The sequence below is a fragment of the Homo sapiens genome, chromosome 2 (genome assembly GCF_000001405.40).
Source record: "Homo sapiens chromosome 2, GRCh38.p14 Primary Assembly".
In the NCBI taxonomy this organism is placed as follows: Eukaryota; Metazoa; Chordata; class Mammalia; order Primates; family Hominidae; genus Homo; species Homo sapiens.
Window position 1 is genome coordinate 201,896,329 of NC_000002.12, and position 15,169 is coordinate 201,911,497.

General features: G+C 43.0%; 1 annotated feature.

Annotated features, from left to right (window-relative positions):
- Positions 5,412-6,135: an enhancer, noted in NCBI's record as "NANOG-H3K4me1 hESC enhancer chr2:202766463-202767186 (GRCh37/hg19 assembly coordinates)". NCBI's record gives its function as "activates a minimal SCP1, AML or CMV promoter by ChIP-STARR-seq in naive H9 embryonic stem cells {active_cell/tissue: H9 hESC(naive)}" and the evidence as "EXISTENCE:reporter gene assay evidence [ECO:0000049][PMID:30033119]".

Here is a 15,169-nt window from a genome sequence, read left to right on the forward strand (position 1 = left end):
AATTAATTATTAAATGTAAAAATCAGTTTCTCATTCACACTGACCATATTTCAAATGTCAATAGCTCAGAGGCTGGTGGCTGCCATATTGCATGATGCAGATACAGAACATTTCTATTATTGCAGAAAGTTCTGTTGAACGGTGCTGACATAGAGTGTCAGGATTTATACGAGAGTTGATAGTGATGTCTTCTAACATTTCTTGATATTTTAAGTGTGCATTTAATACCACCTTGAAGTTAGTCTCTAAAGATTTTGCCTTTTAAAAATAAAATCTCTGAGAGCCTCCAGTGGATGCTGGAAGAAAATAAATCACTCTGAAAAGTTACACTTCTTAGAACCAAACAACTCAGAAGGTCTTTTCCTGACGGTTACATTGACAGAGAAGATGAACACCTTTTGATTAGTTTTGACACCTTTCATTAATAAATTCCGAGGGCAGTTTTATTTTAGTCCATCCTCCCTGATTTTCTGCACATTTTCTACTTCTAACTCTTCTCTATCCCTAAGTGGGTTGATGTGCACCTGATATAAGATCTCATGTGCATAGTAATGAAATCATCCAAGTTTATTATCATCCTTATACACAATTGTTTCTATTGTAAGAACTATTAATATCATTGGATATTACAAGAAAATCTTGTAAGTAGACCAAAATGGAACCAAGATGTAAAATAATCCTTCTCATTAATTATTCAACAAACATCCAGGCAATAGAAATACAAAAATTAACAGTTTCCCCAAGGATCATATAGTCTAATGGAGAGTTAGCTGTAAATAAATATAAGATCCAATGACAACATGTCAATCTGCCCTATCACAGAGGAGATGACATAGGCTTTGTCATGAAGGGAGAGTGTGCCAGGCAGGCAATTGAAGGGATAAGAAGATCCCCGGGCAGGGCGCGGTGGCTCACGCCTGTAATCCCAGCACTTTGGGAGGCCAAGGTGGGCAGATCACGAGGTCAGGAGATTGAGACCGTTCTGGCTAACACGGTGAAACCCCGTCTCTTCTAAAAATGCAAAAAAAAATTAGCCAGGCTTGGTGGCGGGCGCCTGTGGTCCCACCTACTTGGAGCTTGCAGTGAACCGAGATCACACCATTGCACTCCAGCCTGGGCGACAGAGTGAGACTCCTTCTCAAAAACAACAACAACAACAACAAAAGATCCCCAATGTGACAGTATTATAGAAAGGACAGGAGCTGGGAGAGGTGACATGCACCTGTATTGCCAGCTACTCAGGAGACTGAGGTAGGAGGATCCCTTGAGCCTAGGAGTTTGAGGCTGCCTGGGCAATAGAGCAAGACTCCATCGCTAAAAAAAATAATAATAAAACTAATAAAAAAGAAAGAACAGGGTGTTTTGGGTTGTAATGAACTGAAAACCCCAATTCAATGGCTTAACCCACAAGGGTATTATTTTACATAAGAAGCCTAGAAGTAGGTGGCTCCAAGATTGATTCATCTGATGGGTCAATGACATCACAGGGACGTAGGGTCTTTCTATCTTTCTTCACTGCATCTTCAGTGTCCTTCATTGCCTTAGTCCTCAGGCTGGTTCCTATCATGGTCACAAGATCCTGCCACAATTCCCAGCATCATATGCAGATATGTCTACATCCAGTTGAAGAAGAGACCATCTCTTCCTGTATGCTTCATTTTAAAAGAAAGCACAGGCTGGGCGCAGTGGCTCACGCCTGTAATCCCAGCACTTTGGGAGGCTGAGACGGGTGGATCACGAGGTGAGGAGTTCAAGACCAGCCTGGCCAAGGTAGTAAAATCCCATCTCTACTAAAATTACAAAAATTAGCTGGGCGTGTTGGCAGGTGCCTGTAATCCCAGCTACTCAGGAGGCTGAGGCAGGAGAATTGCTTGAACCTGGATGGCAGAGGTTGCAGTGAACTGAGATCATGCCACTGCACTCCAGCCTGGGTGACAGAGTGAGACTGTCTTAACAAAAAAAAAAAAAAAAAGAAAGAAAGAAAAAAAAGGAAAGAAAGCAAGAAAGCACAGTTCTCTTTATATCTTCTGATAAGACTGTCACATACCTGCTTCTGAAATGCTAGCAAGGGGAATTCGATAGCTGCTTTAGAATGTTCAGGATTTCCTCCTGATCTGAAGCAGGACCACCTCTCCTGAGGGGCAAATTCCTAAATAGTCATGACCACCTATCAGTCTGCCCTATCACAGAGGAGATGACTGAGGAAGAAGTCGGGACAGACTGTTGGGCAGACAACCAATAGAATCTGCCACAGCAACTAATTGATCATTGGGCCGTGTGGTGTTGGGGGCAGTGGGAGGTGAAGAATGGGCATAAGGTTTCCAATCTGGGGGCCTGGATGGCTTGTTACATCATTCACAGTTGGGTACTTCCTTTGAGAGAGACGGTTATGAGCTCACTTCTAGACATCTTGAGTTTGAGGTACTGGTGTGCATAAGATGATTAGAACCGCCGGCCTGGGAACAGGACGTGGAGATGGCTGTGAGTGAGTGTCATCTACACACTGATGGTCCTTGAAGTCCCCAGGATGTGACTGCCCAAGAGAACATATCTGAAGAGAGGAAGCACAAGAATTGTACCTTGGGAAAGCTCAATATTAGCTTTATTTAAGCAGTATTTAGAGCTTGGAGATGGAAGAATCAACAAAGGAGACAAAGCATTAGTGGTTAGAAATTGGTGGAAAGGGGAGGTGTTGTGCGGAGAGGGGAGGGACTAGAACCATTCTGTGTGACAGAAGTTAACAAGAGCGTTCCAAGATTGAGTAGCCTGCAGAGAAAACCACCAGGAAGGTGTGAACAAAGAAAGGCCGTGGATTTGGGAGGCTACCTGTCCTTGGTAACCTACAAGGGAGCAGCTTCCATGGCATGGTGGTCATAGAAGAGCACGATGGATTAAAGAGACAGTGACAGGTAAGAAAGCAGAATGAGGGAATATCTTTCAGAAATTGTTGCATAAAAGGATAGGAAAGATGGAGGACTCACTAGAGCACGGAAGGACTGACAGGTTTCGTGTTTTGTTTGGCATAGGAGAGATTATACATTTTTATGAGCTGAAGAAAAAAGAGAGAAAGAAGTTGAAGAATCAGTAGATAATCCAAAAATACCAGGCATGATCCCTTCTCGAGTTTTTGCCTGGCTCGTGCCTCTGCCTAGAACCCCTCTTCCAAATATCCACACAGCCAACTCCCTTGCCTACTTCAAGCCTTTGTCCAAATGTCACCGGTTGGTGAAGCCTATCCTGGCCACCCTATTTAATGGGCCACTAATTTGGAAGCCTCCTGTACACCAATCCCCCTTAACCTGCCCTATTTTTCTAAAGCATCTTATCACTTGATGTCGTGCTCCATAATAGATTTACCAATTTATGATATTTATTGTTTCTCTCTCCCCCCAGCTGGAATGTAAGTTCCATGAAGATAAGAATATGTTTTATTTTATTTTATTTATACTTTTTTGAGATGTAGTTTTGCTCTTCTCACACAGGCTGGAGTGCAATGGTGTGATCTCAGCTCACTGCAACCTCCGCCTCCCAGGTTCAAGTAATTCTCCTGCCTCAGCCTCCTAAGTAGGTGGGATTACAGATGGATGCCACCATGCCCGGCTAATTTTTGTATTTTTAGTAGAGATGGGGTTTCATCATGTTGGCCAGGCTGGTCTTGAACTCCTGACCTCAGGTGATCCACCTGCCTTTGGGTGAGCCACCACCTCCGGCCTAGGAATCTGTTTTATCCACTAGCGTATCTCAAGCACCTTGAACACTGTCTTGCATGTAGCAGAGTCTCAGTAAATGTCTTTTGAATGAATGAACTCTACCATGTTTCAACTGCAACCCAGCACACTTTTTCTCCCTTGTCCTGTTCTGTTTTGGCTTTGTTTTTTCATATATGATGTACCAGTGTATTACATTTGTTATGTTTTCTATCTCCCACAGTAGAAATCAAGCCCCACAGGAAAAATGATTTTGATATGTTCTGTTACTGATATATCCCAAGCACCTAGAATTGTGCATGACACATAGTCAGTGCTTAGGAAACACTTGTGGAATAAATGAATCAGTGAAGATTCAGAGATTGAAGGAAAGGAGATTGAGAGTCTATGTTTGCCTGGGAGAGGGTAAGAGATGCATGTCCTCTGAGACTGGAGAAGAGGTAAAGTACACAGATAAAACATAATCAAACCATTGAGCAGGTGTACAGAATCAGGAGCCAGGTGGTACACAATCAGGCATTTGTTCAAATCTGTCTCTGCCACTTACTAACTGTGTGATTTGGGGGCAAGTTACCTCCCTTCTCTGCTTTCACTTCCTCCTTTGTAAGATAGGAATGATAATAGTATCTGACTCATAGAGTTGGTGGTGAGGATTAAACGAATTAATACATTTAAAATATCTTAAAGAAGCTGGGCACGGTGGCTCATGCCTGTAATCCCAGCACCTTGAGAAGCCAAAGTGGGAGGATCACTTGAGGCCAAGAGTTTGAGACTAGCCTGGACAACATAGTGAGACCTCATCTCTACAAGAAATTAAAAAATTAGCTGGGCATGGTGGCACACGCTTGTAATCCCAGCTGCTTGGCAGGCTAAGGTGGGAGGATCGCTTGAGCCCAGGAGTTCAGAGATTGCTGTGAGCTGTGGTGGTGCCACTGGACTCTAGCCTATGTGATAGAGCAAGACCCTGTCTCAAAAAAAAATAAATAAATTGGGCCGGGCGCTGTGGCTCACGCCTGTAAGCCAGCACTTTGGGAAGTCGAGGCAGGAGGATCTCCTGAGGTCGGGAGTTCGAGACCAGCCTGGCCAACATGGTGAAACTTGGTCTCTACTAAAAATACAAAAATTAGCCAGGTGTGGTGGCACACACCTGTAATCCCAGCTACTCGGGAGGCTAAGGCACAAAAATCGCTTGAACCCAGGAAGTGGAGGTTGCAGTGAGCCAACATCACACCATTGCACTCCAGCCTGGGTGACAGAGCAAGACTCCATCTCAAAAAATAATAAGTAATAAAATATTTTAAACAGTGCCTGGCATATAGTAAGCACTATAAAAATTAGGTGGTGGTGGTGATAGTAAATGAAAAAAAAGGAACAGGGGAATTAAATATGCTAATACCCATGGGGTTTGACCTGGAAGGGAAGGCAGGAGGACAATATGGAACCAACTTAGATTTAACAGTGAGTTTGGGTTTGGGGATGACGTTGGGAGGGAAAGTCGACAACACCTGATTCTGGTTCTGTTTGTGACTGTGGCTCCATTTGGTAAGCCTGGCTAGAGCTGCAGGAACCCTGGGTTTCACTAACCTCCTACTCTGAAGAACAGATTAAAAAATGAGGATCAGAATTTTAAAATATAGATATTTTTCTCTGCAGACCAATTCCAATTCCTGAAAACTTGTATGAATAAAATAATGGCACTGATTTTTTCCGCTTTGAGATCTTTTTGGTTTTTGTTTCAGTTTTGTAGGTATTTTGTAATTTTTTTATGTTTCAATGTTTAGAGAAAGATCTAGCGGATTCGAGGCAGGAAACACAAAAGGCCAGGCTAATCACACGAACAGCGCCCACTACAATGGCTGCAATGGGCCACGCATCTCTGGAAAAGACAGTTCCCCAAAAGAGTGCCTGGGGAAGGCAGATAAAAGACCGAAGTTGGGTCATGTGACAGGTGTCACTTGAGTAACGATACTGGGGCCAGAGATAAAAGCCCACTCCTTCAGGTCACATGACCCAGCTTCATTACGCTCCCAGCAGGGGGTTACAGAGTCTGGATGCCATTTTTACTTATTTATTTATTTGTGTTTTTTCCCCTTATTCTGTGATAATGAGAAAATGTTTAAACTCCCATCTCTGTGTTTAAACATTTCTTCCTGCTGACAGCAGCGGGATACCCCTTGATCAACTGTCAGATTGGAAAGTGCAATTTTTCTGGAAAGTAAACAGCATGTTAGCTGGTTGGAAATAATTTTCTGTTTATTGGTAGCTGTTACTCTAGGAGTGATGGAGCCCTGTGACAGCACTTGTCAAGTGAAGAATAAGAAACAAGTTTGGAAATACCTTTAAGACATAGCTCTGACAATAGGGCCTTACTAGTTTTTGATAGAAATGAACTCTAAAAAAGTTAAAATGGGCAAAAAAACTTTTCCAGTGTTACCAACTCTCGGAGATCTTTCCGGCAAAACTGACAGAGAATCAAAGGCAAATTCATGGAATGCTGGAAGTGGATGGGTCCTCAGCAGGCACAAAACCCAACCCCTGTGTTTTACCACTGGGGGAACCTTGGACTCTTCTCATTAATAAGAGGAAAGCAGCCGGGCGCGGTGGTGGCTCACGCCTGTAATCCCAGCACTTTGGGAGTCTGAGGCAGGCGGATCACGAGGTCAGGAGATTGAGACCATCCTGGCTAACACGGTGAAACCCTGTCTCTATTAAAAATACAAAAAAATTAGCCGGGCATGGTGGCAGGTGCCTGTAGTCCCAGCTACTCGGGAGGCTGAGGCAGGAGAATGGCATGAACCCTGGAGGCGGAGCTGGCAGTGAGCTGAGATCGCATCACTGCACTCCAACCTGGGCAACAGAACGAGACTCCCTCTCAAAAAAAAAATAATAAAATAAAATAAAAAATAAAAGTAAAATAAAATAAAAAGAAAGCATGACAACTATCAATATGACAAATAAAAGTTTTATTTTCTTTTATGTATGAAGATGAATGCAAAAAGCTGGTGGAAGCAGTTTAAACATTTTGACCTAAGTATACTTAACAAGGTTTAATGGCACATATAGATATATACAGTTGACCTTGAACAACACAGGGATTAGAGGTGCCAAGCCCCCCACCCCCTACCCCCACTCCCCACCCTGTGTGCAGTAGAAAATCCACATGTAACTTTTTTTTTTTTCTTTTGAGACAGGATCTAGCTCTGTCACACAGGCTGGAGTGCAGTGGCACAATCATAGCTCATTGCAGCCTTAACCTCCTGGGCTTAAGCCATCCTCCCACCTCAGCCTCCCAAACAGTTAGGACTACAAGCACATGCAACTACACCTGGCTAATTTTTTAAATTTTTTGCAGAGACAGAATCTTGCTGTGTTGTCCAGGCTGGTCTTGAATTCCTGGTCTCAAGTGAGCCTCCCGCCTCGGTCTCCCAAAGTGCTAGGATTTCAGGAGTCAGCCACCACACCCGGCCCACATGTAACTTTTGACTCTTCAAAAAAAACTTACCTAATAATCATCTACTGTTGACTAGAAGACTTACCAATAAGATAAACAACCAATTAACACACATTTTATGTATGTGTTTTATACTGTATTCTTACAATAAAGTAAGCTAGAGAAAAGAAAATGTTATTAAGAAAATCATAAGGAAGAGAAAATATATTTACTGTTCATTAAATGGAAGTGGATCATCATGAAGTTCTTCAACTTTCTGTCTTCATATTCAAAGGGCTGAGAAGGAAGAGGAAGGGTTGGTCTTGCTGTCTCAGGGTGGAAGGGGCAGAAGAAAATCCACTTATAAGTGGACCTATGTAGTTCAAACCCATGTTGTTCAAGGGTTAACTGTATATATATATATATATATATATATATATATATATATATATATATATATATATATATATATACAATCTTTTTTTTTCCAGTGGCTAAAAGAACACCATTAGTCTTTTGTTAATTAAACATGTCATCAGAAAAAAAAAGTGTTTTTCTTTTTCTTTTTTTTTGTTTTTTGTTTTTTTGAGATGGTCTCCTCTGTCACCCAGGCTGGAGTGCAGAGGCACAATAATGGCTTACTGCAGCCTCAACCTCCCTAGTAGCTGGGACTACAGGCTCAAGCCACCATACTCAGCTAATTTTTTTTTTTTAAATAGAGATGCGGTTTCACCACGTTGCCCAGGCTGGTCTCGAACTTCTGGGCTCAAGCAATCTGCCCGCCTCAGCCTCCCAAAGTAGTGGGATTACAGGCATGAGCCACCACACACAGTCAAAGGTTTCTAATTATAAGTAATATATATTCTCAAGCTATATAAAGGTCCATATCTATCTTCAATTAGGGTAAGTTTAAGGTCCTAATTTGTCCCGGAATTCGCCTCACTTTTTCCTGATGGTTAGAAAAGTAATTCCAGCTGCTTGACGAGGTGCTTTCACCTAGATGTTTCTAACAAATATGTCAAATTCTGCATGTCCAAACTTCTCCCTACATCAAAAACAAAGCAAAAAAGGTCTTCTCCATTCTCGTTTTGGTTAACAGCATCACCATCCTCCCAATTGCCTGATTCCCCTCTCCCTGCCTCCTAAATACCTTTCAGTACATTTTCTTCTATAGCCAGTGCCAGGCTATGTGGTTCTCAAAGTGAGGTCCCTGTACCAGCAACATCAGCATCCCCTGGGAAGTGGTTAGAAATGCAAATTCTCGGGGCTTACCTCAGACCTACTGAATCTGGAACTGAGTGGGGTGGAGCCTGGTAAATCTGCATTCACTAAAGTGAGAACACTGTCCTGGCTGTATTCTGCAGGTCTTGCCCTGTAGTCTCCTAACTGGCCTTCCAGCCACCAATTTTTTCTCTGGAGTATTCCCCATACCAGTAGTTCTCAACCTTGGCTGCACATTGGAATAATCTTGAAAATACTGATGCCTGGGTCCCTGTTTAATTGCTCTGGTCTGCAACATAGGCACAGGACTTTTTTAAGCTCCCCATATTATTCTAATGTGTAGCCAGGGCTGATAATCACTGCTCCACCCGGAAGCCAGTGTTCTCTTGCTAAAAAACAAATCAGATGATGTCACTATCCCCCCTAAAAAAATCTCTATCAGTCATAGGATAAATTCTGAACCAGCTCTTCAGCATGGCCCCAACTGAGTACTCCAGCTGGCTCCATCAGCCTCCAGGCTCACTCGCTTCCTCTACACTCAGCCACGTGGAATTTCTCAGTATTCCCTGAATGCAGTATTCTGTTCACATCCCTAGCTTTTTGCACTTTCTGTCCCCTCTGCTTAGAATGCCCTCTTCCATCCTCTCTGCCTGGTGAACTCTTATCCCTCAATGCTCAGCTGAAAGGTCCTCCAGCCCAGGGTGAGTTGCTCTCTTCTCTGGGATCCCAGAGCACTCTGTTGCTATGTACATCATAGTATTGGTCCCATTTCATTGCAATTATTAGTTGACACTTCTTTCTTCTTCTTCTTCTTCTTTTTTTTTTTTTTTTGAGATGGAGTTTCACTCTTGTTGCCCAGGCTGGAGTGCAATGGCATGATCTCAGCTCACTGCAACCTCTGCCTCCCGGGTTCAAGTGATTCCCCTGCCTCAGCCTCCCGAGTAGCTGAGATTACAGGCATGTGCCTCCATGCCAGGCTAATTTTGTATTTTTAGTAGAGACAGGGTTTCTCCATGTTGGTCAGGCTGGTCTTGAACTCCCAACCTCAGGTGATCCGCCCGCCCCGGCCTCCCAAAGTGCTGGGATTACAGGCATGAGCCACCACATCCAGCCTTCTTTATCCTTTTTAAAAACTGACAGCGTTAGGAGATTAGAAGAATGCTTAGCTTTTTAATTTTATCCCCAGTGTCTAGTGTAAGTTGGACATTGAGAAGATGTTCAATCAATGTTGGTTAAGCGAATGAATTGGAAACACCACCACTTGCTGCCTTCCACTGAGATCAAATCATGGTGCCATTTTGCTTTTCTTTCCAGAATCAGTAAAGATCATATATCTCATATCATACACATATGACTTAGTAATCACATACCACAAACACGTGATTAGGAGCCAACCAGATCAAGTCTGTCACTTGCTGACCTTGGTTTTCTAATCTTTAAAATAAGGTCAATAATGCCTATTTTGTAGAGTGAGTGTGAAGATTCATTGTATAACACCCAGCAGCATGCCTGACACAGACTAGGCACTAAATAAATTAAAATGTTTATTATAATAATAAGTAAATAAAACTCACTGAAAAGAAAGTTAAACTGAGCAGCACTTCTGTTTATACATCTGTTTCTCTCTTCAGTGTGAGCTGCTGAAAGGCAAAAGCTGTCTTATTTATCCGTGTGTTCCCTGGGGCGGGGAACACAGTAGGCATTCATTAATTAATTCGGTCGCTCATTCACCAAGCATTTATTAAGCTAATGAATGAAATGAATAATATTTGGGTTAGAATGATGGCTTGCTGTTTGGGGCACAGAGAGACTCACACATTTGTCTGTCTTACAAAACAGAGAATCACAAGTTTGGCCACTGGAAGGTGTCTCAGAAATCATTTTTAAAGGTTCTCATTTACAGGTGAGAAAAGGGAGATAACTAACCAGGAAAGCCATTTTAATTTCAATATTGAGGATAACATTTCTAGGTTGGGAGTGGATGCTGACCAAGTAGGAAAGCAAGTTCACATTTGTAAAAGTTCTTGGGTGGGTGATACTTAACTAGGACAGTGCTTGGTTTTTCATGGTGAGAAACTGGGCAGTTGAGAAGAATTTTAACAAAAATCATCAGAGGCACTTTTGAGTATTGTCAATTCCATATTATATACTTTATCTGGTGGAAAATAAAGCACCTTCTACCCAACGTGCATGTAAATTTATGTTGCTCTGTCCTTTTAAAGGGCAGGTAGAAGGCAAAATGTAGGTCATTTAACAGGTGTCGTTCCAGGCAACAACAAAGAACAGATAAAAAAGCATGTAGCAGATGTAGTCGTGTAAATAAGCCTCTTTTTAAAAATGAATCACCACATGTCCCCAAGATCAGAATCACTCCCGGGAACCTGGTGTGGAGTCTCCCAGATGCAGAAGAAAGAGGAATGAATGAATGAATGAATGAATGAATGATCCAGACCAGCCAGAGACTAAACTGCAAGCAACGTTAGGTTTCCCTGTGACCATTCAGACTTAATGTGACTCTATGAGAAAGCACTGTTGCAGGCCGGGGATTGGCAGGCAGCCCCGGCCCCCAGCCTCAGATAACAAGCTGCTCTCCAAGAACACGTGCTAGGAAAAGTGCTTGATCAGAGTGTCAGCTTGTGGACTGAGTAGGAACACTAAGTGGTTTTGTCTGTCACCTCCTTCACCCCAGCTGGAATTTGGCCATAATCTGATAGAAACACTTTGCCCACTTTCAGGAGAATTTTCCACTATCAGTAAGGCTGCTTTTTCATACTTCGGCTATCACCAAAGCCTTTCAGAACACTTGTACTACTATCGCCCAGGGGAGCTTATATGTCTCAAGGGTAGGGGGTGGGGGACCAAAACCATTCTGAGCATGGAACACTCAGTTGATTCAGGTTTCATCCATGTTGAATTTCAGTCCCTGTTTCCTGAGGACTAGACTGTACTAGATGCTGTCCTGGAATCATGTCTTCATTAGTCCCCTGGGCCACATGACCGGTGAGTGAGTAAGCTGGGCTTCAAACTCAAATCCAGCCCCTGAGGTTTCAATGTCCATACTTGAACGTCTACTCGTGATGTCTTCATGTCACTGTGAAGAGGACTGACAGGGCTTCAGAAGCTGCTGCGTGGGAAAGGGTTAAAAGTGTCAGAGTGCCTGGGTTCAGATCCTGACTCCACAGCTTTGTAGCTGAATGCCTTTCGGCAGGTTACTTAACCTCATTAAGCCTCAACTTCCTCATCTGTAAGAATGGGTCCAGCAATAGTACCTGCCTGTAAGGGGGTTATCATGAGGCTTGAAAGGGTTTGACTCATGACAACTGTATAATAAATGATAGTTACTAGTATTGTCATACACATCACAAATACAATCAACATTATGGATTTACTCCCATCTAGGCATGAATAGTCGTGTGTTTATGTGTACACAATGTGACAAAGAAGAAACACAATAGCCACAATTTATCGGGCACTTATTATATGTCAGGTAGTAGAATAGGGGTTCTGCACACATAACCTCATGCTTTTCATATATATGACCTGATTTATTCCTCATAGCCATCTGTGAAGTAGTTAATATTATTTTTATTATTATTATATATTTTTTTGAGACAGTCTTGCTCTGTTTCCCAGGCTGCAGTGCAGTGGTGCGATCTCGGCACACCACAACCTCCGCCTCTCGGGTTCAAGTGATTCTCATGCCTCAGCCTCCCTAGTAGCTGGGACTACAGGCGTGCGCCACCACACCCAGCTAATTTTTTGGTATTTTTAGTAGAGACAGGGTTTCACCACGTTGGCCAGGCTGTTCTTGAACTCCTGACCTCAGGTGATCCGCCCACCTCAGCATCCCAAAGTGTTGGGATTACAGGCGTGAGCCACCATGCCCAGCCAGTAGTTAATATTATAATCCTCCCTTTCAGATGAAGAAAATGAAGCTCGCCAGGCACAGTGGCTCACGCCTGTAATCCCAGCAGTTTGGGAGGCCGAGGCAGGCAGATCACTTGAGGTCAGGAGTTCAAGACCATCCTGGCCAATATGTTGAAACCCCATCTCTACTAAAAATACAAAAATTAGCTGGGCATGGTGGCACATGCTTGTAGTCCTAGCTACTCTGGAAGTTGAGGCAGGAGAATCACTTGAACCTGGTAGGTGGAGGTTGCAGTGAGCTGTGACAGTGCCACTGCACTCCAGCCTGGGTGACAGAGTGAGATTCCATCTCAAAAAAAAAAAATAAAAGAAAATAAAAGAAAAAAGAAAATGAAGCTTACACAAGTTAAGTGACTTGCTTGGAGTCACACAGTTGATATTATATATGGTGATGCTGAGCTTAGATTCCAGAACTGCTTTGAGAGCCTATGCTTCTAATCACTATTCTACAGTGTCTCTCTGAGGCAATAGGCTTAAAAAAATAGATTCCAAAAATTGCTGCTTTCAAACGTGTTGTCTTTTAAAGAAATCTCTTTGAAAAGTGCCAGCTTACCCCATCAATACTGCCATTGTTCAGGCTCTTTGGCCTTCAGAACCATACACAATCCTCACGAGAAAATGAGTCTCAATTTTATCATCCTCATCTTTTAATCTAAAATGGTATTACTTAACTTGATCATGCACCTTATTCCCCGGACTTTGATCTAAATGAATTTTAGCTGTTAAAAATCAAATCCACCTTTAAAGGATAAATATTTGTCCTCATCAAGATACTCCATTCACTTCAGTGTCGAAAAAGAAACGATCCAGAGTGTTTTTAACAGCATCTTTGGAATAAGTAATTCATCTTCCAGGGAGATTGCTTTGAAGGAGAGCCTCATGTGGGATGCATAAGCTCTGGTATGTTTATTTAAAACATACCTTAAATTTCCTTACACATATTCACAAGTAACTTGCCTGGAAGCCCCAGACACTCAGCTCTACTAAGGCAGGAGAAATTGATGAGGTCATCAAGTCCTTTTGAATTGTATGTTCCTAGACTCTTAAACTTTTATTCAGTGAATTGTAAACATGAGCAAAAGGTTTCACTGCGGGAAAGGACCCTGCCTAAACAGAGACGCTCACACACATGCACCTCAACCCACCTCTCCATTCTGCAATGTGGAGCCTTAAGCCATTGCTGGCTTAGGGCTAGAGAGACTATTTGGGGCTCTGAAGAGACAAATCAGAATAGGCAGCTTTTTTGATAGGAAGTCAGCAACTTCCATTCTTGCAACTACCCTGAGCTTAACTTAAATGCCTTCCAGTTGCTAAAAACCTGCAGCTGTATCTGAGCCCAGACAGCCTTTTAACAAAAGTTGTCCATTTTTATGTGGCCAGCCATTGGGTAATCAATACACACGAGATCATCCTTCCACAACCTTTTTCAGTCGCCAACACTTGATGAGTCAGGGTAGTTAACCCAGCCCAAAGACACTGTAGCTGGGCTTCATCACTACATTAGACCCTACTTAAACCCTTCCTTGCTGATTTACTTACAGCACAGCTCTTCTACTTTTTGCAGTAACATAACTTTGGTTAAAGTTCTTGTCACTTTCAGTTTTGCCTACGCTGCCTCCCACTTCCTCCCAAAGCACCCCCCGCCCCCATCATGCTGTGCTCTCCAGATGTTCACAGTCCTGAAATATCCCACATGACAAAATATATACATGTTGTAATTATCCAAGTAAGTCCATCTTTGCTTACTTTGGTCTGGTTCCCATTTGTCTTATCAGTTAAATAGCAAAACTTTGATTAGTGTGGTAGGCAGAACACTGCCCACCCCCCAACCAAAGATCCCCACATCCTAATCCCAGGAACCTATACCCATGCTATGTTACATGGCAAGGGGGAATTAAAGTTGCAAATGGAATTTAGGTAACTGATTAGCTGACCTGAGAATAGAGAACATATCCTGGATTATCTAGGTGGGCCCAATGTTATCACAGGGTCCTGAAAGTGTGTAAACCAAAAAGTATCTGAGACAAGCCTCAATCAATTTAGAAAGTTTATTTTGCCAGCCGGGCACGGTGGCTCACGCCTGTAATCCCAGTGCTTTGGGAGGCTGAGGCGGGCGGATCACGAGGTCAAGAGATCGAGACCATCTTGGCCAACATGGAGAAACCCCGTCTCTACTAAAAATACAAAAATTAGCTGGGCGTGGTGGCATGTGCCTGTAGTCCTAGATACTCAGGAGGCTGAGGCAGGAGAATCACTTGAACCTGGGAGGTGGAGGTCGCAGTGAGCCGAGATTGCGCCACTGCACTCCAGCCTGGCAACGGAGCGAGACTTTGTCTCAAAAAAAAAGAGAGAGTTTATTTTGCCAAGGTTAAGGATACACCTGCGACACAACTTCAGGAGGTCCTGACGACGTGTGCTCAAGGTGGTTGGAGTACAGCTTGCTTTTATACATTTTAGGGAGACATAATACATCAATCAATACATGTGAGATCTACATTAGCTCCATCTGGAAGGGCAGGACAACACAAAGGTGGGGAGGGCTTCCAGGTAACAGGTAGATTTAAACAGATTCTCACTGGCAATTGGTTGAAAGATCTGTTATCTGTAGAAAAGAATGTCTGAGTTACCATAGGGGTTGCAGAGACCTAGGTTTTATCATGCAGATAAAGCCTCCAAGTAGCAGGCTTTAGAGAGCAAAGTAAATTTCTTATCAGACTTAAGGTCTGTGTTGATGTTAATGCTGGAGGGGTCTAATGAGGTATGTCCAACCCCTGCTTCCCTTCATGGCCTGAACTGGTCCTTCAGGTTAGATTTTTAGGGTGCCCTGACTGAGAAGGGAGTCCATTCACATGGTTGTGGGCAGGGCCTTTGAATTTTATTTTTG